This window comes from Homo sapiens, chromosome 17 (genome assembly GCF_000001405.40).
Source record: "Homo sapiens chromosome 17, GRCh38.p14 Primary Assembly".
Classification (NCBI taxonomy): domain Eukaryota; kingdom Metazoa; phylum Chordata; class Mammalia; order Primates; family Hominidae; genus Homo; species Homo sapiens.
Genome location: NC_000017.11, coordinates 2,081,118 through 2,104,933, shown reverse-complemented (window position 1 = coordinate 2,104,933; position 23,816 = coordinate 2,081,118). Strand labels below are relative to the sequence as shown.

At 49.0% G+C, this 23,816-nt stretch overlaps 1 protein-coding gene and 1 long non-coding RNA gene across 14 annotated transcripts in view, besides 8 other annotated features; one reads left to right on the top strand and one right to left on the bottom strand.

Moving 5' to 3' along the window:
* Positions 1-23,816, top strand: part of SMG6 (SMG6 nonsense mediated mRNA decay factor) — a 243,947-nt gene that overhangs the window by 198,852 nt on the left and 21,279 nt on the right. For 10 of the 13 annotated variants that reach the window (XM_011523769.3, XM_047435696.1, XM_005256569.5 and 7 more), the window contains 2 exons: positions 19,033-19,209; positions 22,978-23,124. In XM_011523769.3, coding sequence (XP_011522071.1) covers positions 19,033-19,209; positions 22,978-23,124 — 324 coding nt within the window. Of the gene's footprint in view, positions 1-16,172; positions 17,860-19,032; positions 19,210-22,977; positions 23,125-23,816 lie in introns of those variants that run through there. The other 3 variants (XM_047435700.1, NM_001282326.2, XM_047435697.1) reach the window with 3 other exon arrangements.
* Positions 2,631-15,196, bottom strand: SMG6-AS1 (SMG6 antisense RNA 1). The gene is made up of 2 exons (NR_199038.1): positions 15,165-15,196; positions 2,631-3,812 (listed from the first exon to the last, which is right to left on the bottom strand). It is a non-coding gene; the product is annotated as an SMG6 antisense RNA 1 (long non-coding RNA).
* Positions 15,065-15,144: an enhancer, noted in NCBI's record as "active region_11474". NCBI's record gives its function as "activates an Ori minimal core promoter by ATAC-STARR-seq in GM12878 lymphoblastoid cells {active_cell/tissue: GM12878}" and the evidence as "EXISTENCE:reporter gene assay evidence [ECO:0000049][PMID:35858748]".
* Positions 15,175-15,274: an enhancer, noted in NCBI's record as "active region_11473". NCBI's record gives its function as "activates an Ori minimal core promoter by ATAC-STARR-seq in GM12878 lymphoblastoid cells {active_cell/tissue: GM12878}" and the evidence as "EXISTENCE:reporter gene assay evidence [ECO:0000049][PMID:35858748]".
* Positions 15,295-15,394: an enhancer, noted in NCBI's record as "active region_11472". NCBI's record gives its function as "activates an Ori minimal core promoter by ATAC-STARR-seq in GM12878 lymphoblastoid cells {active_cell/tissue: GM12878}" and the evidence as "EXISTENCE:reporter gene assay evidence [ECO:0000049][PMID:35858748]".
* Positions 15,405-15,584: an enhancer, noted in NCBI's record as "active region_11471". NCBI's record gives its function as "activates an Ori minimal core promoter by ATAC-STARR-seq in GM12878 lymphoblastoid cells {active_cell/tissue: GM12878}" and the evidence as "EXISTENCE:reporter gene assay evidence [ECO:0000049][PMID:35858748]".
* Positions 16,946-16,995: an enhancer, noted in NCBI's record as "active region_11470". NCBI's record gives its function as "activates an Ori minimal core promoter by ATAC-STARR-seq in GM12878 lymphoblastoid cells {active_cell/tissue: GM12878}" and the evidence as "EXISTENCE:reporter gene assay evidence [ECO:0000049][PMID:35858748]".
* Positions 19,457-20,369: an enhancer, noted in NCBI's record as "H3K27ac-H3K4me1 hESC enhancer chr17:1987859-1988771 (GRCh37/hg19 assembly coordinates)". NCBI's record gives its function as "activates a minimal SCP1, AML or CMV promoter by ChIP-STARR-seq in naive H9 embryonic stem cells {active_cell/tissue: H9 hESC(naive)}" and the evidence as "EXISTENCE:reporter gene assay evidence [ECO:0000049][PMID:30033119]".
* Positions 20,825-20,904: an enhancer, noted in NCBI's record as "active region_11469". NCBI's record gives its function as "activates an Ori minimal core promoter by ATAC-STARR-seq in GM12878 lymphoblastoid cells {active_cell/tissue: GM12878}" and the evidence as "EXISTENCE:reporter gene assay evidence [ECO:0000049][PMID:35858748]".
* Positions 20,975-21,034: an enhancer, noted in NCBI's record as "active region_11468". NCBI's record gives its function as "activates an Ori minimal core promoter by ATAC-STARR-seq in GM12878 lymphoblastoid cells {active_cell/tissue: GM12878}" and the evidence as "EXISTENCE:reporter gene assay evidence [ECO:0000049][PMID:35858748]".

Here is a 23,816-nt window from a genome sequence, read left to right as displayed (position 1 = left end):
AAAAAAAAAGATGACTTGAAGTAGAGACCTTTCCCTATACTCTTTGTGAAAGTGCCATTACCTTCATAAGAGGCCATATTATAATATAATGAACTGAGCACAAACTTTGGAGTAAGACAAATCTGGGTTCAAAGCCCAGCTTCATCACTTCATCACTTGCTTTTTCTGAGCTTTAGTTTCCTCTTCCTGTCTCACAGGATTACCATGATAATCAAATGAAATAACATAATTCCTAGTAACCATCTGTCACCACTTCATCTACACCACAGCTTTCCCAGTAAAATGGGATATTTAGGCCACCAAGAAAGCGTGATCAATGAAAATTGCAGAGGAAGTAAGATGCTAACTTGCTCTACCTGCCACTACCCTGAACCTTTTTTTTTTTCAACCCCCTTAACCTCTTTAAAGAGCTTCTGGCATGCTCATGGGTTTTTCTTTCTAGAACTTTCCCTGCCCTGAATTTGTTCAGTATGCATTGTCACTTGTGAGGACTTCTTTTCACAATAAATACCCAAGTGCTTTAGAATGTCTGGATGGTGGCCAGGCACAGTGGCTCAAGCTTGTAATCCCAGCAATTTGGGAAGCTGAGGCAGACGGAACCCTTGAAATCAGGAATTCGTGACCTGCCTGGCCAACATGGTGAAACCCTGTCTGTACTAAAAATACAAAAATTAGCCAGGTGTGGCCGGGCGCGGTGGCTCACGCCTGTAATCCCAGCACTTTGGGAGGCCGAGGTGGGCGGATCACGAGGTCAGGAGATCAAGACCATCCTGGCTAACATGGTGAAACCCCGTCTCTACTAAAAATACAAAAAATTAGCCGGGCGAGGTGGTGGGCGCCTGTAGTCCCAGCTACTCGGGAGGCTGAGGCAGGAGAATGACTTGAACCTGGGAAGCAGAGGTTGCAGTGAGCTGAGATCGTGCCATTACACTCCTGCCTGGGCTACAGAACAAGATTCCAACTGAAAAAAAAAAAAAAAGAATGTGTTGATGGTGATTCTCCTGGAAGTCAAGCCTGCTTTCTCTGTGCCATCACAGAGGTGTTGCTGGCAGACTAATCTTGAGACGACTTCTTACCTCTTTGCACCAAGGCTCTTATTAAGGGGTCTTTCCTGACTTTAGATCCGGTGATGAGTTAGCCCAAAAGAGTGTGCTCAGTCTCCTATAGGGCTCACAGGTTTGGCTTATACCCTCCAAGTGGCCCAATGGGAGCTACAGGGTGTTGGAGGTGGTCATGGGAAAGAAACAGCTCACAAGAAGAGCGTGGGGCGAGAGCCAGCCGTTCCCCACTGCCTGCTGGAGCAAGCTCAGTGAGGCCGCTGACAAGAGTCCTCAGAACACTAAACAGGTGATTAAAACATCAGTATAAGTCTTTCCAAGCTTCACAGAAAGCCAAAAACTTAGTTTGGACAGCAACAGAAATTTTCCGCTCTGTAGCTTTATAAACTGGTCCGCTGTTTCTTCCTCTGCTCTGTGGCCAGAGGGGAGCTCTGTGCTAATGATTCCATAAAACCCTCCAAGTCTTCCTGAGTGGCTTATCATATGAGAGTAACCTATACCACCCTTTTCCATCAGAGTAATCTCTAGCCTCTCACTGTTAGTTCGCATTCTGAATCTTTAACCCTTCCAAAAAGGCCAAGCCCAGCTCTTGGCACTGTCCCCTATGACAGAGCTGAGCTCCTCCATCAAGCTCAGTGGCAGAACGATCCTTTCCTCCTTTCCAAGATGACTGCCCAGAATCACAGAAACCTGTAAGAATGGAAAGAGAGTAATCCCAATTCTGGGCATTCACCCAAAAGATTTGAAATCAGTTGGTTGAAGAGATGTCTGGACTCCCAGGTTCACTGCAGCATTAGTCACAATAACCAAGTTATGGAATTAGTCTGAGTGTCCATCAACAGATGAATGGATAAAGAAAAGGTGGGACATACACACAATGGAGTACTATTTGGCCTTTAAAAAGAAATTCTGTTGTTTTCAGCAACATGGGTGGAATTGAAGAGCATTATGCTGAGTGAAATAAGCCAGGCACGGAAAGACACATACCATATGTTCTCACTTACATGTAGAATCTGAAAGAGTCCAGCTCATAAAAGCAGAGAGTAGGATGGTGGCTACAGAGGCTGGGAAATGGGGAGATGATGGTCAAAGGGTTCAAAGCGTCAGTTCCATGGGAGAAAGATGGGTGTGTGTTTTTCTGAGATCTGTTGAACAGCATGGTGAGCATAAAAATACAGCACTGTACATTTAAAATTGCTTTAAGAGGTCAGACGTGGTCACTCACAACTGTAATCCCAACATTTTGCGAGGCTGAGGCAGGATGATCACTTGACACCAGGAGCTCAAACCAGCCTGGGCAACATAGTGAGACCTCATCTCTAAAAAAAAAAAAAAAAAAAAAAAAAATGAAATTAGCAGGATGTGGTGGTCCACGCCTGTAGTCCCAGCTACTTGGGAGGCTGAGGCGGGAAGATCACTTGAGCCTGGGAAGTGAAGACTGCAGTGAGTCTTGATCACACCACTGCACTCCAGCCTGGGTGACAGAGCAAGACCCTGTCTAAAAGAAAAAAAAATTCCTTTAAGAGTAAATTTCAAATTTTCTCACCACAATAAAATGATAAGTATTTGAGGTGATGGGTATGTTAATTAGCTGGGTTTAATTATTATACATTGTATTCATAAAATATATCACTTTGTACCCTTGTAAATAAACACAAATATAAATTGTCAATTTATAATAAAATTTTGTAAAGGACTAGGAATATAGATCTTCAGAGTTATTAGCATCTTGCAGACAGGGCTCAGTAATTTGCCTGAGAGCACACAAGTTAGGAGGCCACGACACTGTCGTTCCACTAGGCCCTGCTTGTCCTAGACTGTGGCGTGTCACCCACCCAGGAGGAGTGCACCATGCCCAGAAGAGTTCAGTCTTCAAGAAATCAGCTCTGAGAGGCTGCCTTTTTCTCTTCTTCTGTGAATTTCCAGGCAAGAGAAGAGCTTTCTCCTTGGGGAGATGGTGAGGGTCTCTGAAACACCTGTGAATGTTCTGGATCATGGAGAGCTGTGGCAGTTAGAACAGTCCGGCCCCTGCAGTTACTGGCTGCATTTCCTGAGCAAGTTACTTCTCTGTGCCTTAATTTCCTCACCTCTATAATCGAAGCAGTGACAGTATCTACTTCATGAGGTTGTGGGGATCACGAGTTGGTTCGTGTAAAGCATTTGGCACAGTGCCTGGCTTGTAGTAACCATTCGCTCGGTGTTCGCTGTGGCTGCGAAGGGTGAGTGAGGCATGCAGCAGGTTTTATTACGTCCCGGAAGGCCGATGGCACTCTTCCAGGAAGGTAGCGCTGGTGAGCTGGTAAACCTTGAATGAGGAAGTCATTTTATCTGGCTTTGGATCTTAGTTCTCCTGAGAATGTCATTGAATTTATTTGAATTTTAGTTTCCTCATCTACATCATCTGGATGTAGTAACTGCATCAAAGAGTGCAGAGGATTTCTAGATCCTAAAAGTATCATGAAAAATATAAAGTAGGTTGGGTGCAGTGGCTCACGGCTGTAACCCCAACACTTTGGGAGGCCAAAGCAGAAGGACTGCTTGAGACCAGGAGTTCAAGACCAGTCCTGGCAGCATAGCGAGGCCCCATCTCTACAAAAATAAAAATTCAAAAATTAGCTGGGCATGGTGATGCATGACTGTCGTCCCAGCCACTTGGGAGGCTGAGGCAGGAGGATTACTTGAGTCCAGGAGTTCAAGGTTGCAGTGAGCTTTGATCACGCCACTGTACTCCAGCCTGGGTGACAGAGCAAGACCCTGTCTCAAAAAATATATAGATAGTAGTAGTGTTTGCACCTTTGAAAAATAGAGTTGCATTTTGAAGAGTCTAGTAAAATTGTGACCACTTTGACCTAACCTTCCATCCTTTAAAGCAGTAATTCTAAAACTCAGTGTTCATAAGTACCTGGAACACTTACACACATTCTGGCCAGGTGCTGTGGCCCACACCTGTAATCCCAGCACTTTGGGAGGCTGAAGCAGGGGGATCTCTTGAGCCTAGGAGTTCAAGACCAGCCTGTGCAATACATTCTGGCCAGGTGCTGTGGCTCACACCTGTAATCCTAGCACTTTGGGAAGCTGAAGCAGGGGGATCTCTTGAGCCTGGGAGTTCAAGACCAGCCTGTTCAATATCGCGAGACCCCATCTCTACAAAACATTTTTTAAAAATTAGCTGGATGTGATGGTGTGCGCCTGTATTCCCAGCTACTCGATAGGTTGAGACTGCAGTGAGCCGTGTTTACACCACAGCACTCCAGCCTAGGTGAGAGAGCAAAACCCTGTCTCATAGAATAAAATGTTTAAAAGTACACATTCTAAGGTCCTATCTCAAGAAATACTAATTCATTGAATTCAAAGTGGAATCCATAGCCAAGGAGTAGTGTTAGGTAAAAAGAAAACAAACAAAGTCGGGCACCAGTGGCTTATGCCTATAATCCCAGCACTTTGGTAGGTGAAGGAGGGCAGATCACTTGAGGCCAGGAGTTCAAGCCCAGACTGGCCAATGTGGTGAAAACCCATCTCTAAAAAAAATACAAAGATTAGGCCAGGGACGGTGGCTCACTCCTGTACTTGAACACTTTGGAAGGCCGAGGCGGGCGAGTCATTTGAGGCCAGGAGTTTGAGACTAGCCTGGCCAACATGGCAAAACCTCATCTCTACAAAAAATACAAAAACTAGCTGGGTATGGTGGCACTTGCCTGTAATCCCTGTTGCCCAGGAGGCTGAGGCAGAAGAATTGCTTAGATCTGGGAGGTGGAGATTTCAGTGAGCCAAGATTGTGCCACTGCACGCCAGCCTGGGCAACAAAGCAAGACACTGTCTCGAAAAAAAAAAAAAAAAAGATAAAAATTACCTGGGCATGGTGGCAGGCACCTGTAGTCCCAGCTACTCAGGAGGCTGAGATGGAAGGATCACTTGAGCCCAGAAGGCAGAGGTTGCAGTGAGCGGAAATCTCACCACTGCACTCCAGCCTGGGCGACAGAGTGAGACCCAGTCTCCAGAAAAAAAGTGGAGTTCGGGAATCTGCATTTTTAATAAGCTCAGCGTGTGATTGTGATACAGTTGGTTTTGAAAAAATGCCTTTTCATGTTCAGATGTGAAGAAGGGAGAACTGACACTGATTGAGCTGGTTCTGTATGGCAGCCATTTGCTGACTTACACGTTATCCCGAGCTATGGATAGGCTAGTTCGTTTTCGTTAACAAAGCTTCTCTTGTCTCCAACTATGAGGCATGGGTCATGTTTGTGATTCAGGACTCCAGAAACATAGAACCTGAAAATGCAACTTAAAATGGCTTTCTACCTCAGCCCAAATCTCAGAGAATGTCTGCATACTACATTTTTTAATATGCTGTGGGGGTTCTTCAGATGTGGATGTAATTTTTTTTTTTCAAAGCATGACATCAGTGCTTTGAAGATCATTAAATGTCACTTCTTAGGAGGTACATTTTACCTTGACCTGGTACAACAGCCTCCATGGAGTTAAGACCTGCCCAGAGCGTGGCTTCTTCTGGTATCTGGTTTCACATGAGAAACTGGAGGCAGCCTGTCAAAGAGGAGTCCCTATTCCTTATTGAGTCCAAACCCCCATGAGGAGCACCCCCCAAACAGAAGGTAGCATCTCCGAGTGTGTCCAGGTGTCTGTGTTGCACAGCTTCGGGGAGCATGATTGACACAGTATAGGCAGTATGGCCGCACCACCTCCGTGATGTCCTCTGGGATTGTCCTGAGGCTGCCATCTGACCCCCACGATCACTCATCCACATTGTTCAGGTATCCATAGTGCATGTTAAATACTGCAGATAGATTTTATTTTAAGCACACACACAAACACACACACTAGTGCCTCCCCTCAAGAATCTTACTTAGGAGAAAAAAACACGACAGATTAATGGGAGAAAGATATTAAGAATTGTAAATAAAACCAACTGATAAAATTCATGTAACATGGCCAGGCACGGTGGCTCACGCCTGTAATTCCAGCCCTTTGGGAGGCTGAGGCGGGTGGATCACCTGAGGTCAGGAGTTTGAGACCAGCCTGACCAACATGGGGAAGCTCCGTCTCTATTAAAAATACAAAAATTAGTTGGACATGGTGGCGGGTGCCTGTAATCCCAGCTACTCGGGAGGCTGAGGCAGGAGAATCACTTGAACACAGGAGGCAGAGGTTTCAGTGAGCCGAGATCACGCCATTGCACTCCAGCCTGGGCAACAAGACCGAGACTGTCTCAACAACAACAACAACAAAAAGTATGTAACATAAACCTGAGAAGGGAATGCATTCTTAGATGAAAAATTTAGGATCCAAAGAGAACTTAATAGGTTGCAATGGGGAGAAGTAAATGACAAGATGAAATCAGAAAAGAAAGAATGTAAAACCCTACCCTGGTCCAAAAAGTCAGCCACACTTAGCATGTAGCATGCAGCACAATGGTAAATAATCGGATTTCTTCAGGCATGGGGAGAAGACCTTGGTGAAGGAAAAGATGTGAAAGGGAATAGTTGGTGGAGGGCTTGTACTCCATAAAGGGAGATAGGATTTAGCAACATATGTGAAAACAATTTGGGGATTTGTTGATTAGAAGCTCACAATTGGCAGGGCACAGTGGCTCACACCTGTAGTCCGAACACTTTGGGGGGCTGAGGCAGGAGGATTCCTTAAACTTGAACTGGAGTTCAAGACCAACTGGGGCAATATGGTGAAACCCCGTCTCTACAGAACACACAGCCAGGTGTGGTGGCACGTGCTTGTAGTCCCAGCTCCTGAGGAAGTTGAGGCGGAAGGATCACCTGAGTCTGAGAAGTCAAGGCTGCAGTGAACCATGATCTCGTCACTGTACTCCAGCCTGAGGGACAGAGCAAGACCCTGTCCCCCGCCCCCCAAGAAAAGGAAAAAAGAAGCTCACAGTTTATCAGTAGTGCAAGGTGGGGACAACAACAGTAATGCTGTTAAGTCTATTATTAAAATTGAGTATCCCCGATAGAAATGGGAGGGAATGGTCTACTCTCTGCTCTGCTACCAGGTCACGTGGGCACTCACTGTGGGAGACACTTTAGTCTTAGTGAAAGTCTTAGTGAAAGAATAAGCAGGATGTTTAGGAGACAGTTGGAGTGAGGCACAGTTGAAGGAAGTGGGACTGTTTAGCCTAGAGAAGGTGTATAACACAGCAGACCTCATAATTTGAGGCCAGTCAGATAAAAGCAGAATTTGAGTTTGTTTTCTTTTGTTTTTTGTTTTTTTACATGGCCCCAGAGAACCGAATTAGAAGCATTGGGAGGCAGATCTGGGTTTAAAAGGTGTAAACATTTCTAGCAATTAGAAAAGTCCAAAAATAGAATGGCCTTCTGGTAGGAAATATGCCCCCTTACAGATTCAACACAGTAACACACCTCATACAGAATGGTCAGGAAAAAAGTCTGTTAGTGTAGACAATAAAAATGATTGGCTGGACGTGGTGACTCATGCCTATCATCCCAGCACTTTGGGAGGCGGAGGCAAGCAGATTGCTTGAGGCCAAGAGTTCAAGACCAGCCATGCCAACATGGTGAAACCCTGAAATTAGCAGGTGTGGTGGCTCGCACCTGTGGTCCCAGCTATCTGGGAGGCTGAGGTGGGAGGATCACCTAAGCCCAGGAAGTCGAGGCTGTAGTGAGCCGTGATTGTGCCACTGCACACCAGCCTGGGTGGACAGAGAGAGACCCTGTCTAAAAAAAAAAAAGAAAAGAAAAGAAAAATTATATATTTCTTCAATGTTAAGTAATGATTGATTTTAAAAACTACTCCAGGGCCTTGAGTCCTCTCCACCAGAAGTAGTCAAGAAAGACTTGGATCACTGAGGGGTATTTAGAGGAGGTTCTCTTGTGGCTCTGAGTGATTGTTAAGGTCTCTTCCAACCAAAGGACAAAAGAATTCACTTTGTGACGTACAAGTAGTGCAGATGTTGAGGGCTGCTAATGGAGTCAGAGAAGATGAATGAAGTGTAGGCCTAGTCCATAGTTGCTGGAGGGATACCTGTGTACTTGGGAGAGGTTAGTGTGAGGTTCCTGTGGAGTCCTTTGCTGGACTGAAGGTCATGTGAAGTCAAGGACTGCATCTGTCTTGTCTTGTCTTGTCTTGTCTTGTGTGCCCAGGATGTCTAGCAGTCCCTGTCACATAGTAGGGCGTTACGAAAGATTTGTGGAAGGTAGGCTGGCAGACTGGACAAAGGCTAACTGGCGTCTTGAAGGACTTATAGGCTGGGATGGGCGGCTCACACCTGCAACTCCAGCACTTTGGGAGGCCAATACAGGAGGATCACTTAAAGCTATGAGTTTGAGATCAGCTAGGGGACATAGTAAGACCTTGTCTCTACAAAAAAAAAATTAGCCATTAGCCAGGCGCAGTGGCTCACGCCTGTAATCCCAGCACTTTGGGAGGCCAAGGCAGGTGGATCACCTGAGGTCAGGAGTTCGAGGCCATCCTGGCCAACATGGTGAAACCACATCTCTATTAAAAATATGAAAATTAGCCGGGCATGGTGGCGTGCACCTGTGAATCCCAGCTACTCAGGAGGCTGAGGCACGAGAATCACTTGAACCCAGGTTCAAGACGAAGGTTGCAGTGAGCCGAGATCGCGCCACTGCACTCCAGCCTGGGCGATACAGTGAGACTCTGTCTCAATAAATAATTATTTGCCAGACATAAGTGGTGTGCCTCTGTGGTCCCAGCTACTCTGGAGGCTGAGGTGGGAGGATTGCTTGAGCCCAGTTATTTGAGGCAGCAGTGAGCCTTGATTGCTAACAGAGCAAGACTCTGTTTCAAAAAAAAGAGAAAAAAGAAAAAGACCTTACCAAGCTTAAAAGACGATGAGGGAATGAATTGATTGCTTAAATGTAAAATAACTGCAGGTTGGGGGAGTAATATGTGAACTTTCAGAGGTGCCAGGGGAAGCAGACAGCCTGCAGGGTATAGCAAAGGGGGTTGCCTGGGGCTTGAAGTTCCGGATTAGGGAATAATAGCCACAAGTGCCAGTAGTGATCTTTGGGGGGAGGGGTGGGTGGGCGAGGGTTTGCAAGGAGCTTGGGATTTCATTTGATAGCAAGGCTAAGCCCAAAAGAATTTTCCATCCCGACTTCCTCGGGACCCATCCGCCTGAAAGGAATGAAGGAGCAGTGTCCTGGGTCTCTGCAAGGAGCTTTTCTTCTCCCTTGGGCTGAGAATTCTGCCTTCCTGAGTACCGCAGGTCATGGCAGCCGGGGAGGGGCGCGTGCTCTCTTGATGCAGGGGGTCTGTTGATGTATCTGGTATGAATGTGACCCACGCCACCCAACCCCCCAAGTGAAACAGGGATTTTCCTTTGTTCTGTGATGAGTCCCCAGGGTCTGGAGGACAGTGCCTCACACACACAGTAGGCACTTACATGTTGCTGAACTGCATGTTGCCTAAGTGTGTTGAAGACTACAGATGTCTCCGAGAGTCCACTCTTGTGCCACGCGTAGAATAAATACAATTAGGAGCAAATTTGGTAAAGGAGCCTAAACACAAACCTAAGGGGAGGCCTCCTGGACGTGGCTGTCTAGAAGGCAAACAGTGTGGTTCAGAGTGACTAGAGCCCAAGGTTCAGTGCTTCTGGCCCAGAGCTAACTGGCAGTGTAGAAACAGACTGTGTGTGGATATTTGCAGACTGAGACAGACGGGAGGACTTTCATCCCCAGGGGCTGAGCCTGCAGCCTCCCCTGCTGGTTCAGTAAGTGAGGGCCCCAGCGCCTGTGTTCCAGGTTTCAGATCAGCTGAAGCCAGCCAGACCTGAAAGGCTTGTGTTGGCAGTGCCAATATCCGTCCTTAACCCCTGCCAATGTGGGTGGCTGCTCTAAGAGCACTCTGCAGGGGAAGCAGAATTGGACTGAAGCCCGAGCTACTGCTGCCTATAGCTTGCTCTCTGTGACGCTTTTGCCGCTGAGAATGTACCTTTCTGGTACAGCCGGAGCCGAGAGCTCTAGAAAAGAATAGTTTCTGTCCATGAAGGAACAGTTCAAGAAGAGCAAGCTTACTCTGCCCATGGAAGACCAGACTCCTATCTGGCTTTGTTTGGAACATCTAAGCTCAGGAAATTCAGGTGGGTAGAAAATACCATATTGGGGATCTTCTCATCACTACTTTCATATTGGGAGACATGAGGCAAGGATCCAGCTGGGTCTTATTTAAGAAAGATACCAGGCTGGACACGGTGGCTAACACCTATAATCCCAGCACTTTGGGAGGCTAAGGCAGTGGGATTCCTTGAGGCCAGGAGTTCGGAGTAGCCAAGAGCAGCCCGGGCAACAAAGCAAGACCCCATCTTAGAATAAAATAAGATACTGTTGGCCAAGCAAAGTGGCTCACGCCTGTAATCCCAGCACTTTGGGAGGCCGAGACAGGTGGATCACTTGAGGTAAGGAATTAGAGACCAGCCTGGCCAATATGGTGAAACCCCATCCCTACTAAATATACAAAACTTAGCTGGGTGTGGTGGCACGTGCCTGTAGCCCCAGCTACTTAGGAAGAATCTCTTGAACCCAAGAGGTGGAGGTTGCAGTGAGCTGATATCTCGCCACTGCACCGCAGCCTGGGGTGACAGAGCCAGACTCCATCTCAGAAAAAAAGAAAGAAAGTTACGTTGCAGGGTTTGCAGGGCCTCCTCAAACCCTCAACGATCCCACTAGCAAAGGCAGAGCCACCGCCCGTACCCCACTGTGAAGGGACCTCATGGACAAGGCAATTGTGACTGTATTTCTGATACATTTATTAGTGGCCCGCTTGTTCCGAAGCCCGGGACCTTGGAGCCTCTCTAGATTACTGGAGTAATGCATGCATACCTATGGTTAGGTCCGGAGTCTTTCTGAAGAATAGGGAGAGGGATTGCTGAAGAGAGGCAAGGTCTTTCCTCCCCTGCTTGGCCAGCCCAGTAGCCTGGATCTAGCACCTTAGTTCTGAATAAAATATTTCAGGCCCTGAGTGGTGGCTCGTGCCTGTAATCCCAGTGCTTTGGGAGGCCAAGGTGGGAGGATCACTTGAGGCCAGGAGTTTGAGACCAACAATATAGCAAGACCTCATCTTTACAAAACAATTTTTAAAAATTAGCCAGCTTCCCGCTTGAGCTCAAGAGACTGAGCCTGCTGCAAGCCATGATGACGCCACTGCAAACTCCAGCCTGGACAAATTTAAAAAAAATTTTTTTTGCAGCTTCAACAGCCAGGTAAGCATTCCAGGGCCTCTCCCCTTGGCCCTAGGCTATGTGCCAGCCCCATGCTTCCCACCTTGCCTCTCAGACTGGCTTCCAAACAGCTCAGCCATGTTAGGCAGTGCCCCTCCCACCTCTGAAGAGAGTGGAGATAAGAGGAAAAAAAAATGCCAGCTGCTCAATTATCGAGCACCTACTGGGCCCAGGCATCTCGCTAAGTATTTGATATGTATTCCCTCTGTCTTTTTTTTTCTTTTTGAGTCACGATATCACTCTGTCACCCTGGCTAGAGTGCAGTGGCGTGCTCATGGCTCACTGCAGCTCTGACTTCCCCGGCTCAAGCAATCCTCCTACCTCAGCCTCCTAGTTAGCTCGGACCATAGGTGTGTTGCACCACCATGCCCAGCTTTTTTGTTTGTTTGTTTGTTTTTGACAGACACAGTCTCACTATGTTGCCCAGGCTTGTCTTATCTTTTTTTTTTTTTTTGCAACAGAGTCTTGCTCTGTCACCCAGGCTGGATTGCAATAGAACGATCTGAGCTCACTGTAACCTCCACTTCCTGGGTTCAATAGATTCTCCTGCCTCAGCCTCTTGAGTAGCTGGAATTACAGGAGCCCGCTACTAACCCAGCTAATTTTTGTATTTTTAGTAGAGATGGGGTTTCACCATGTTGGCCGGGCTGATCTCGGACTCCTGACCGCAGGTGATCCACTGCCTCAGCCTCCCCAAGTGCTGCGATTACAGGCATGAGCCACTGCACCCGGCCTGTATTATCTTTTAAACCTCACAAACAACTTGAGCAAACAAAGGCTCAGAGAGGTTAAGTAACTTGTCTAAGGATAAACAGCCAGGAAGTGGCAGTTAGTACTTGAACTCACGTCTGTGTAACTATGAAGCCCAGGCTCTTGTCCAACCTCCTGTATTGCCTTGTCTTGCCTCTTGCCAGAATGGCCCTGTTTTTTATACTTTATTTACCTCATTACTTCCTGTGTGTGCTTCACAACTCCCCTGTTCCCCTGGTTCTCCCTTCAGTGTGAACATCGTCTCCTTCCTAGTAGCCAAATATACGTGTACCTTTTGGGATCTTCAGTAACCCTGTCTTGGGATAGTCTCCCCACCAGCACCAGGTCTTGCCATCTGACCATTTGCCAGTTCCCACCTCCCCTTCTCTAAGAGACTTCAGCACACACCTGGTGGTTACAGGTGGGGACAGCAGGCATCTGTGCAATGCTGGCTGATTGATAATGGCCCTCATTGCCTCCTCTAAGAAGAAAACACAGCTGTTGGGACCAGACACATGGAATGGTGTGGTTGCTGTGGGTGGACCAATGATGTTAGCATTTCATCTTGTGACCCAATGACCCTTCAGCTAGCACAGGCCAACCATAGGACTACGGAGGGTTGGATCTGGACACCGGGATTAGAAATGACTGAGAAAGGCCGGGCGCGGTGGATCACTTGAGGTCAGGCGTTCGAGACCAGCCTGGCCAACATGGCGAAACCCCGTCTCTACTGAAAATACATAAATTAGCCAGGCATGGTAGTGCGCACCTGTAATCCCAGCTACTCAGGAGGCTGAGGCAGGAGAATCGCTTCAACCCGGGAGGCGGAGGTTGCAGTGAGCTGAGATCATGCCAGTGCAACTCCAGCTTGGGTGACTGAGCAAGACTCTGTCTCAAAAAAAAAAAAAGAAAAAGGGGCCAGGCGCAGTGGCTCACGCCTGTAATCCCAGCACTTTGGTTGGCCAAGGCGGGCGGATCACGAGGTCAGGAGATCAAGACCGTCCTGGCTAACACGGTGAAACCTCGTCTCTACTAAAAAAAAACACACACACACACAAAATTAGCTGGGCGTGGTGGCGGGTGCCTGTAGTCCCAGCTACTCGGGAGGCTGAGGTAGGAGAATGGCGTGAACGCGGGAGGCAGAGCTTGCAGTGAGCCGAGATCGCACCACTGCACTCCAGCCTGGGCAACAGAGCGAGACTCTCTCTCAAAAAAAAAAAAAAAGCAAAAAGACTGAGAAAGTAGCCTGTACTTAACGCTTTACATAGAAAGAGGCCCAGCTATAGCAGGGGTAGGGAAAGAGTGAAATACTGTTTGAATTGATCCCTTGGACAGTATGCTCCGAGGTTGTCAGGAGATGCATCTGGTCCAAGGATGTGTGCTTTTTCTCACTCTGTCCCCCTTATCATTCAGCCCCTGCACAGGTTCTTTCTTTCCCTCCTCTCTGACCCATGAGCCTCTTTCTCAATTTCATACCAACTTCTTCTGACTCAAGTAGGCTGTGAATGTCTGTCTCCCCATCCTAAGCTACTGCCTGTGTCTTCAGACTGACTGTGCATCCTTGTGGCCAGTTTCGCTCCTGCCTTCTGGAGTCTGCTTCCTGCCAGGAGGCCCCTCCCCCTAGGAATGTGAATAAACCATTTCCTCTGTCCTCCCAGCTCCAGAGGATTCCCTGTGTGGTATTTTTTATTTCTTGTGTCTGAACTTCCATTGGCAGACCCCTTCGTAGGCTGGCCCACCCTTGGCTGCTACAGAATTGAGCTTCCCACCCTTCAGTTTCCTCTGAGGGTGAGTAGTGCATAACTAGAGGTTCCCAGTTTGTGAAAACACATTAGTCTGAGTTAAATTTCTTGTGGCCAATCCTGGAGGTTTGGCTCATTAAAGATGATAATTAACCCATTGCTAATTGACCTCAGAAGCCAGCCAAGCAGCCTGTATTTTACCAGCCTTGGTGTTGGATTTGTAGGCTATTTTAAGGTTTCTTAATAATCTCAGAAAGACTTCATGTTCCTGTCTGCATCTTATTTGCTCTAAGGACATTCTGTAAAATTAACAAGCTATAAAGTTTGATTGAAGGTTTCAACAAATGTGAGAATAATTGGCTCCATTTAGAGAAACAAGAAAAACAACCTGTAAACTTGAGTTTGTGGGGGGAAACCCGTGTGATTGTTCTCTTTAACCAGAGGAGCAGTAGCAAGCTGGACTGTTAAGACTAGAAAAAAGAACTGGCTGATAGTACAAGTTTAAACTCCGATTTCTCCAAACCAAAAATTCAGAAAAAGAAATTTTGCAAAATGACTAGTAACCATGGTTGTGCCTTCCAAGAAGCCTGTTTGGAGAAAACGGGGACCAGGTAACGATAGAGCGAGTCCCTCACTCCCTAGAGCTTGCATCCAGGGTCCTGGCTCTCCAGCCCTTCCTCATATTCCCTGGCTAGATTTGGAGGTTTTCTCCCTTCCCCGGGGCTGCCCTGAGGTGTTAAGTCTTGCAACTCAGAGCACATGAGTATGTGATACCTGGTGCTTAGTTCCCGTTCTCTCTTACCCTCCCTACCTTCATAAAGCAGCATATAGCTCGTTTTCTCTCCCCAACCCCCCTCCCCCGCCGGGCATCTCTACCCACACTGTGCTTGTTCCCTACCGAGTGGCTGTGAAGAGTCACCAGTTTTCAGAGAACACCATTTTTTCTTCTTTCCTTTTTTTTTTTTTTTTTTTTGAGACAGAGTCTCGCCTTGTTGCCTGGGCTGGAGTGCGGTGGTGCAATCTCGGCTCACTGCAACCTCCACCTCCCAGATTCAAGCGATTCTCCTGCCTCAGCCTCCCTAGTAGCTGGGACTACCACATGTACTACCACACCCGGCTGATTTTTGTATTTTTAGTAGAGATGGGGTTTCACCATGTTGTCCAGGCTGGTCTTGAACTCCTGACCTCAGGTGATCTGCCCACCTTGGCCTCCCAAAGTGCTGACATGACATTCGTGAGCTACCGTGCCCAGTCAAGAAACACCATTTTTCTTTACTTCTCCACCTCTCCACCTTAAATACCCCAGAACAGTAACCCAGTCTACTCTCTTGACCTAGAGGTTTTCTCCTTTGTTCCTCGCTCCCCTTGGCTCCAGCCCCTACTTACCCGATGCTTACATTATCTCTCTCTAAGGAACTGAGCCTAGGAGAGAACAGCCTCCGGTATCGCCTCTCCACATCTCACTTTCAGTTTTCCTTTCTGCTTGGTTCTTTGCGTGTGGACTTGATTAGAGTGATAACTGGAGCCCTAAAGCTAAAGGTTTCAGTTCCTGCTGCAGTGGTAAGCTGCCTCCGACAATCTTCAGGGGAAGGGAAAGGGGCTTTCTTTCAGCTCTTCCCTGACCTAAAGCCCCAGTTTTCTTTCCCAAGCTGATTGAAATGATTTGTATGTGATATTTTGTCAATTAACTTGGGAATTCTTGACAATCGCCTACACAGTGCATCTCCCTCCAGAAGGGTCAGGACTGTGACTGAGAAGGTACACCGCAGAGGAGAGGTCCGTAGGCTCCCCAGGGTGTTCCCTGGCTGGCGGCCCTTTTAGTCGCCTCTATCCCCAGTCCAGCCCCACGTGCTAATGTAGCCCAGGAAGGGAGCCTCTCCCGCCCAGCTCTTTCTCCTCTGGAGGATCCAGAGTTTGCCCCCAGAGCTGCGATATACATGCCACTTACATTCTCTGGTTTTCATTGATATAGAGTGGAAAAATGTGCTCACGAGCAGAGTTAACTGTGGGGATGATGTCACAGACTTCATCTGGAGTCCTTCCTCTCCAAGCAGGGAGTCCAGCTTTAACCCCTCTCCTACCAGGAAGTCCTCCTAGACCAAGCAAAGATCATCTTGGAATTGGCTTTTTGTCAGTGGTTTGAAAGGCTTCTTTCATTATGAAGTCTCTTATTAACTGTATTTAAACTGTCTTGTGTTGCTTTTTCCCTGACTCAAGTGCTGGAGGCTTTGTCTAGGAGAATATTCCCGTAAGTCTCCTACAGAACTCCAGCATCAAGAGAGCGGTGGTCCTCTCCCCAGTGGGCTTATTCCCCCCAAGTTAAGACAGAATGCTTTTGCAGACAGGCCAGTGAGCTACAGACAGAAGGTTTCTCTGTGCCTCTGGGCAAGCCCTGGACATTCTGCCTCTCAGTTTCTCCATCTACTAAAGAGCTCAGACTGTGCACTTCTCACTCCCACAGTACACTTTACACAGCTTTGACCATCCTCCCTGCTGCTTGGATTGCAAAGGACAGGGTACTCTTCCAAAAGACAGACAACCTTTCTCTCTCCAAACAGGTAGAATCCTTTCCAGGCCTGTTAACACCAGGTCAGAGACCCCAGTAGATCACAGCCTTTTGCATATCAGCCAGCAGTTGTCCTTGTCCTAGAGAAGGAACTAATAGCTATGACAGACACAATCCCCAAGGAAACCAATTTCCTTCTAAATGGGGCGGAAATGAAAACTGGGAGAGGGCTACTCCTCGTTGCTTGTGTCCATGGAATAGGCAATTCCCACAGACCCTGTAAGGAAGTGCTGCAGGTGGCCTCAGGATGTCCACATCCCTGGGTCCTGCTGTGCCCTGGAAATCCCCATCTCCAGGAGTCCCACATCCACACATGTGGCTTTTCTCCCTGTCGGCCAGAAACCATGCTTTCTTAGCCACGCAGCATACCATGTAGCCCGTGCTCTAGCAGCAGCAACACTCCTGCCCGCCTGTCTGTGCATGTGTCCGTGGCACACTCCTGTCCTGGGCAGGTTTCCTCTGCACACTTAGCAGGGGTGCCAGTGTACCTCTCATCGTCCAGGTGAGGCCAAGGACAATTGCAAGCTTTTCCTCTGTCCTCTTCTCACTCCTTAGCTCCCCTCTCCTCTCCATTCAGTGGCAGCAGCCTCACACCAAGAAGGAAAATCCTGGACCCATTACATAATTCTCCATAGTGCAAGCAGTAGCTGGGGCGTAAGGTCAGAGGTCATAGTGGGGTCAGGTGGCTGACACACACTGTAACGACAAGGTGGTTAAAATTAGACCACAGAGAGGAAACTGGCAGTCTTGTGGAAATGCAGAAGTTTCCTATGCAAGTGAGAGGCTGGAGATGCAGGGAGGCCACTGTGCGTGCTGCCTGCCAGGCTATTACTCATTTCGGCTCTGTTCTTTAATGCCTTTTAGCCCCTGCTTCTGTATTTCTAGCCTTCCTCATCACATGTTTGAATACACGCAATGGAACCAGGCTTACCTGCCCTGGGCCAAGACAAGCTTCCCTTCTCCTTCACGGAGGCAAGCCCAGGACCAGGCACCCCAAGCTCAAGGGGCTGAACTTTTTCTAAGCCCTTCTGGGTAGCCGAGAACCTTCTACATCAACCTCTCAGGTGAAGGTGGTCAAAGTACTTAGCTTGAGATTCCAGCCTATAATGGTAACAGGGCCAATGGTGAGAGAAAGCAGAGAACACTCCTAGACCGTGTAGGAAAGCGGGGTTGGCTTTTTGGTGAAGGTGGCAGAGGATGCAGCCACAGAGCACACAGTTGACCGGTGTGTGCCGCACTTTCCTGGGCAGCCAGCCTGCACAGCGGTGCTCATTTATTTCCACTGTCTTAGAGAACATGGGTCATGCCTGCTTCATCTGCTCTCTGTGGTACCCAGCCGAGCTTCCCTGGGCTGTCCGTCTTTACTGTGAGCCTACTGTGTGCACAGCTTGTCCTTACAATTCTTGCCAGTGACGTACGAAAACGATGAGATTTAGGCTTTGCCACCAGAGGGGTTGCTGTCCACATGAGAGAGAGAACACCTGCACCTGTAAAATGATCATCAGTAGTCTCCAGGTTAGTACTTCCCTATGTGCTGCAGATAGAAGGCTTATTACTGTGAAGTTCCTTTCACACTAAGAAACGAGGATGCATTAAAAGAGAGGCAGGGGCTAGTCAGTGAGGATGAAGGGGCCGTCCCCTGTGGCACGTCTGGCCACGGACGTGTGTTTCCCATGTGGAATGGCCTTCAGCTTTCAAGCTCCAGATCCAGCAGGGCCCCTCTCCCTTGGTGAGCACTCAGCCAGTAGGGAGAAGAGGATGCTGGAGGCTAGAGATGAAGAGAAGGGCACACAGGGGCAAGCATGGAGGAGAGTGTGAGCCAAGCAAACGGGTGTGGAGGAGAGGGCATGCAGGTGTGGTGCCTCCAGAAGGGGGGCCCAGACTGGGGGACGGTGGACACTTAATCTGAGACACTTACACATTTGACTGTTGCTCAAGATACTGAGTTTCATCTCAGCTAAATCAGCCCAAGCTTCTCTGACAGCACTGACTTGTGTGCTGATGTGGCCACATGGGAGCAGGTTGGCGTAAACGTCAGAAAGAGTATAGCTTTGGTGAAACATCCCCACCTGCTCTGCCTGTCTCTCTCCTGACAATTTCCTGCCTGACTCTAGTCTCTTGAGCATGAGGAGCTCTTAGATAGGGCAGGAACCTGTCAGGGGAAGCCCAAAATGATCTGGTTGAAATGAAACAGCCAAGAAAGCCCTTAGCATTCAATTTGCACTTGGGCTGAAAATTCTCCTTTTGGGAGTCTGGAGCAGGGGTGCTGGGAGAGGAGTGGAGAGTGGCAGCGAGGGGCCCCAGAAAGCTCTATGCTGTGAAAGCACTCCACTCTTCCCTCTGCTGGTTCTAGACCAAACTTAGAAGATATGTCATATATTCTGTTTTGTATCAGGACCTTACTCAAATAAATGTAAGGCACCTGTCACTGGTCCCTGGGGTTGTCTGCTGCCCCAGAGATAACCTAAGGAGAGATAACCTCAGAAGATCTTGATCCTCAGCCTGCCCTGGGCCCTCACTTACCACCTGACATGCCCTTGTGCCCTCCGCACCCCGTCATTCATTCTGACCCCCTTGCCTGGTAGCTTTGACACAGTTCCCCTGTGCCCCTCAGCCGGCAAGCAACATCTCGTCTCCATCTTCCCTTTCAGAAAATGCTGTTTTTCTTCTCTCCCTCTCACCCTGTAGGTTATTGCAGCTGACTGCAAAAGGGTCACAGTGCTGAAGTATTTTCTGGAAGCCCTTTGTGGACAAGAAGAGCCTCTGCTGGCATTCAAGGGTGGAAAGTATGTGTCAGTGGCACCCGTCCCAGACACCATGGGAAAGGAAATGGGAAGCCAAGAGGGAACACGACTGGAAGATGAGGTACTATGCGGGAAGAGCCCGCTGTGGCAGAGGGAAGGCCCCCTCCCCATTCTGCTCGTGGCTTCAGCTTTTCCTCCTGCTTATTTATGAGCACAGAGAACAGCGTCTGTGTTAATGTGACCAGCCAGCTTCTCGAGAGTGTGCTCTGATGGTGCCCCTTCCTGCCAGTCCACCCCGGTGCCTCCATCCTACTCCACTACGAGTTCCAGATGCTTCTTTTAATGCTGCATTGAGGAGAAGGGAGGAAAAGAAAGAAAGGAGTTGAATAATGTGCAGCTCTCGAGGCTTAGGAAAGGGAGAGGGGGGTGGTCAGGATCAAGTTTATAGATGTGTGGAGCCCAATGCAGCACAGGCCTGAACTCCAGCCTCCAGCACACGTACAGGAAGAGCTGACATTGCTGGCCCTGTGTGGAAAATCACCCCTCCCCTGCCCTACCCTCCCTCCCTTGTTCCCTCCCTCCCTCCTGCACATCCTGATGTGATTAAGGAATTCTCCTCTTGTTTGTTTGCCCTTGGTTGTTCCTGTAGCCCTTGCTTCACTCCAGACTCGTGTGTGTGTGTCTGTGTGTGTGTGTGCGCGTCTGTGTGTGTGTGTGCGCACGCGCATGCACATGCATGAGCCTGTGTACCCGCCCCTGCAATAGTCCACTGGCAGTTGCCCTGCCCTATATATTGCCATTGCCTATTTGTGTCTTTCTGGGAGTGATTGTTGATGTGGGTCTGTGTGTGCTGGGTTTGTGTGTCAGTTTAAGTAAACACTGCTGCCAGCTTCCCTGCTCTCTGTGGGTTCTGAGTGGTTGTGAGTGTGATGTTGTTGGAGCATGTATGCATTTAGTATCACTTCCAGCTGCCCTGCTGTGTGTCTGGGTGTGGGTATTTCTGTCTGGATGTGTGTTCACACACACCTCACTTTTACCTGAAGGTTGACTCTTCTTTTTACCCCACAGTGTTAAAGACAAGAGACTTAGGTGGGAAGGAACATGGGACTAAGGGAAGGGACGGAAGCGATTCTAGCCAGGGGCCAGGTCACCCATAGGCCAACACAGTCATTTGGCCTGCAGCAGTCTCAAGCGCCCGGTAGAGCAGGGCGGGGTACAGGGATGAAGTCAGCAACAGGCCAAGGAAGCCAGATGTCAGCTGGAAGCTGTCGTTTGTGATCTGAAACAGTGATAGAGTGGCCACCTTTGGATCAGAGTCCTGAGAGCAGCAGAGTCTTGGACTGGCTTCATTAGAATAACTGGAGAGCCCCACCCCACCCCTGATGACATAGGGCTCAGCTTCCAGGACAGAGGTGGTTCCAGGGATAAAGCTGAGCCTAGGATTCCAGACTCTCCAGATGAAACCTGGGCAGAGAATAATGGGAAAGAATGAGCTGTTAGCATGGGAGGGGACAGCAGGCTTGCTAAAGCTGGCAGGGCATCCAGGCTTCAGGCAGGGCAGAGCAGTGCCACCCAAGCCCTGGGTACTGTGTGGGGAAGCACAGGTGGAGCAGTGCCTCCGTCAGCTCTTTCACCCGCACTTTCAGGCTGAGGGCACAGCCAGGTTAGCTCCCAGGCTTGCCCAAAGATGCCCTGTGGCCAGGGGAGCCTGCAGTCCCAAATCCAGTGAGGCAAGTGAGGCCCAGAGAGGGCCACAGCACCAAAGCCAGAGAAGGCCTTCTCTGCCCTCACAAGGAACAGATGACTTCTCTGGTCCCGGATCTTGGTAGTGCCACACTTTTTTTTCTCGTTCTAAGGCTTATTGACCAGACAAAGGTTGTGACCCACACCAGGCTGCCCACTTCTTCCTTTTCCCACGAGTCTCCTGGGTTCCTTCATGTTAGTGGCCTCTGGGAAACTGTGCTTACCCTGGTCTGTGTAATTTCATAACCTTGCACTTCCTCGTTTACTGTGAGAGCTGAGCCAACCTCAGACAAGCTTCTCTGACCCTCTTTTGACCTCAGTCAAGCTCACTTCAAGCCCCGTGATAACCTTGTATATCCCTAGTCAGAGCAGGCAGAGGCAGTGTTCCCCCATGGGCTAGGCAGGCATTCTGTCCCGCTCACTGCAGTCTGGGTTAACCTCATGAACAAGGAAGTGAATGTGCAGAGTTTTCCTTCTTTCCACGGCCTGGGCCTCTCTGGAGGTGAGCGCTGTGACACTATAGCATGCCTGTGTCAGATGAATGGTGACTGTGGACAGCATCCCAGACCCCTGACATCTCTTAGGATAGTGACAGTTCTGGCCCCATCCTCAGATCTCATCTCTCCCCAAACTGCAAAACTGAATCACTTCAGCAGATTGGGAGAGGTAGGGAAAGGTGTTTCTTCAGACATAGTTCTTTGTGAATAGAACACAGTTTAGTCGCTTAGGGATCCTACCAAAACACCCCTAGATTCTGCTCACAAGGCAAAGTATACCCCCGTCATCTACCCAGCCACCCACCTGAGTAATCCCTTTCAGTCAAGAGATTCCATCTGTATATGACCTTGAGCTGGACAGTTAGAGAAGAGAGCAGTCTGTACTGAACAGATCTAGGGTGGGCCTGCAGCAGGCCTCACGATGCTGAGCCACTGAGGGCTGGATCTGAGCTTCTGGTCTGGATTCAGGATGGCTTAGCTTATTATTATTGGTAAGAGCATAAACTTTGGAGTCAGATTCACTTGGGCTTCAATCCCTGTTCTGCCTTTACTAGCCATGTGACCCTGAGCGAGGTGTTGACTTCTAAACCTCAGTTTGTTCATTTATAAGATAGGGATGGTGATAGCACCTATCTTATCTCACAGGCTGTTGTGAGGATTAACTGAGTTAATACATGAAAAATGGGTAGCCCGGTACCTGGCCAGTAATAAGCACTCAGTAAGTGATAGCTGTTGTCATCACTGTCATTATTATAATCCAGTTAGAAACAGGAACCTTCTACTAAATTATTCCCTGTGTACCCATGCTAACCCTGTCCCTCAAAGGAAGCTATCTTGGGCAGCTGCATGTTCTCTGTTGACCAAGGCCAAAAGTAAGAAAGCAAGGAATGGAGCCTGGGACCACCCAGGGAGTGATGGCTGCTAAGAGCTGAGGCTGCAAGTAGGGAGGTGCCATCCTTGGGGAATGTGCCACCAGCCTGGCAGGAGGCTCCTTAAGCCAGCCAGCCACCTCCTACCCTGCCCAGGCCATTGAGGGCAGCTGAGCAAGGTCATGTCGTGTGAATTCCAGTAAAGGGGCCCAGCAGTCCTCACACCACCAGGCTGGAGTCTTCAAAAGAAACCAGGGCGAGGTCTGCTGAGCTGCAGCATCTGTCCCTGATGCTGTCTGCGGCAAGGGAACTTCCACGCCTCATTCCCAGCTGTTGGCCAGAGCTGATTCCTATCAGATCGTTAGCATGAATTAGATTTAAGTTGGGTGGTTTAACTTTCTCTGTTGTTTCCCTCTTGAATCATTGGTGACTTCAGAATGAAAATAGGCCTAAAGTTTGACTTTGTGAGTGTGTACCAGGAAGAACACAGAGTGTGAGTAAAGCACGCAGGTATATATGTGTGATTGCGAGTGACTTATGGTGTAACTCTCTGAGGGAAAAGCCCCAGAGTATAAAAGAGAGCAGCTCCGGGGGAAGAGTGACAGCTTTTGTCAACCTCCCTTTGCCTGAGTAGAGGGAAGCACACACCAGGGGACCCTTTGCAAGGGATGGTCCCAGTCTGCGTGGGTGAGGGGCCACAAGGGCAATGTTGGGTTCAGTAAGAGCCATGGGCCCAGCTAACTGTCTCCTCTTTGTCCTGGTCGGCTCCACCACCCAAAGGAGGAGGATGTGGTGATTGAAGACTTTGAGGAAGATTCAGAGGCTGAAGGCAGCGGAGGCGAGGATGACATCAGGGAGCTTCGGGCCAAGAAGCTGGCTCTGGCCAGGAAGATAGCTGAGCAGCAGCGTCGCCAGGAAAAGATCCAGGTGAAGTCGGCCTGGGGAGCGTGGTTCCCACTATGGGGGTTGCTGTCTAGGGCATGAGAGGATGTGGGCAGAGAGCAGAGCTGAGCAGGACACTAAGAGTGAGTCAGTCCTGCAGTGTTCTCTCTAGCTCTACCCGTTTTTCACTCTACCACTAAATTCTGGTAGCAGGTTTGGTGCCTAGAGTCTCCCTCATCCTGGGCTCCAAGGCAGGGGTACGGTCTTCTCAGAGACTCTGAGAAAAGCTGCTTCCCCAGTGAGAATCTCCAAATGCACACCACACATACATGATCTTTCACACAATGTGAGGGGTTTCAGAGTTTCCCTGAGCCTTATCCAGATATCCCTGGAGAGGCTGTGGATTCTTACTTCAGAACGCCTGTTCCCAGGGAGAGGATGGCATGGCCACAGTCTGCTTGCCTGGATTCCCAATGAAATGGAAGACTCCTCTGGACAAGATACTCCCTACACCCTTGCAGAGACAAACTACTTAATCTCCACACAGGGACTTTGACCCCCATCAGCCCTCTCACGGGCCTGTGCCTTCACCCCCAGCAAGTGTTTCTTCCTGGCCTTCTAGGTCTGTTCCCTTGTGCTGTGAGGCCGTTTGCTGTCCTCTAGGGCTCGGGGCAGACAGGGAAGAGGCAGTCCTGCTCCCCGTTTAAAGGTGAACCGTGTGCATAGGGAAGCATCAA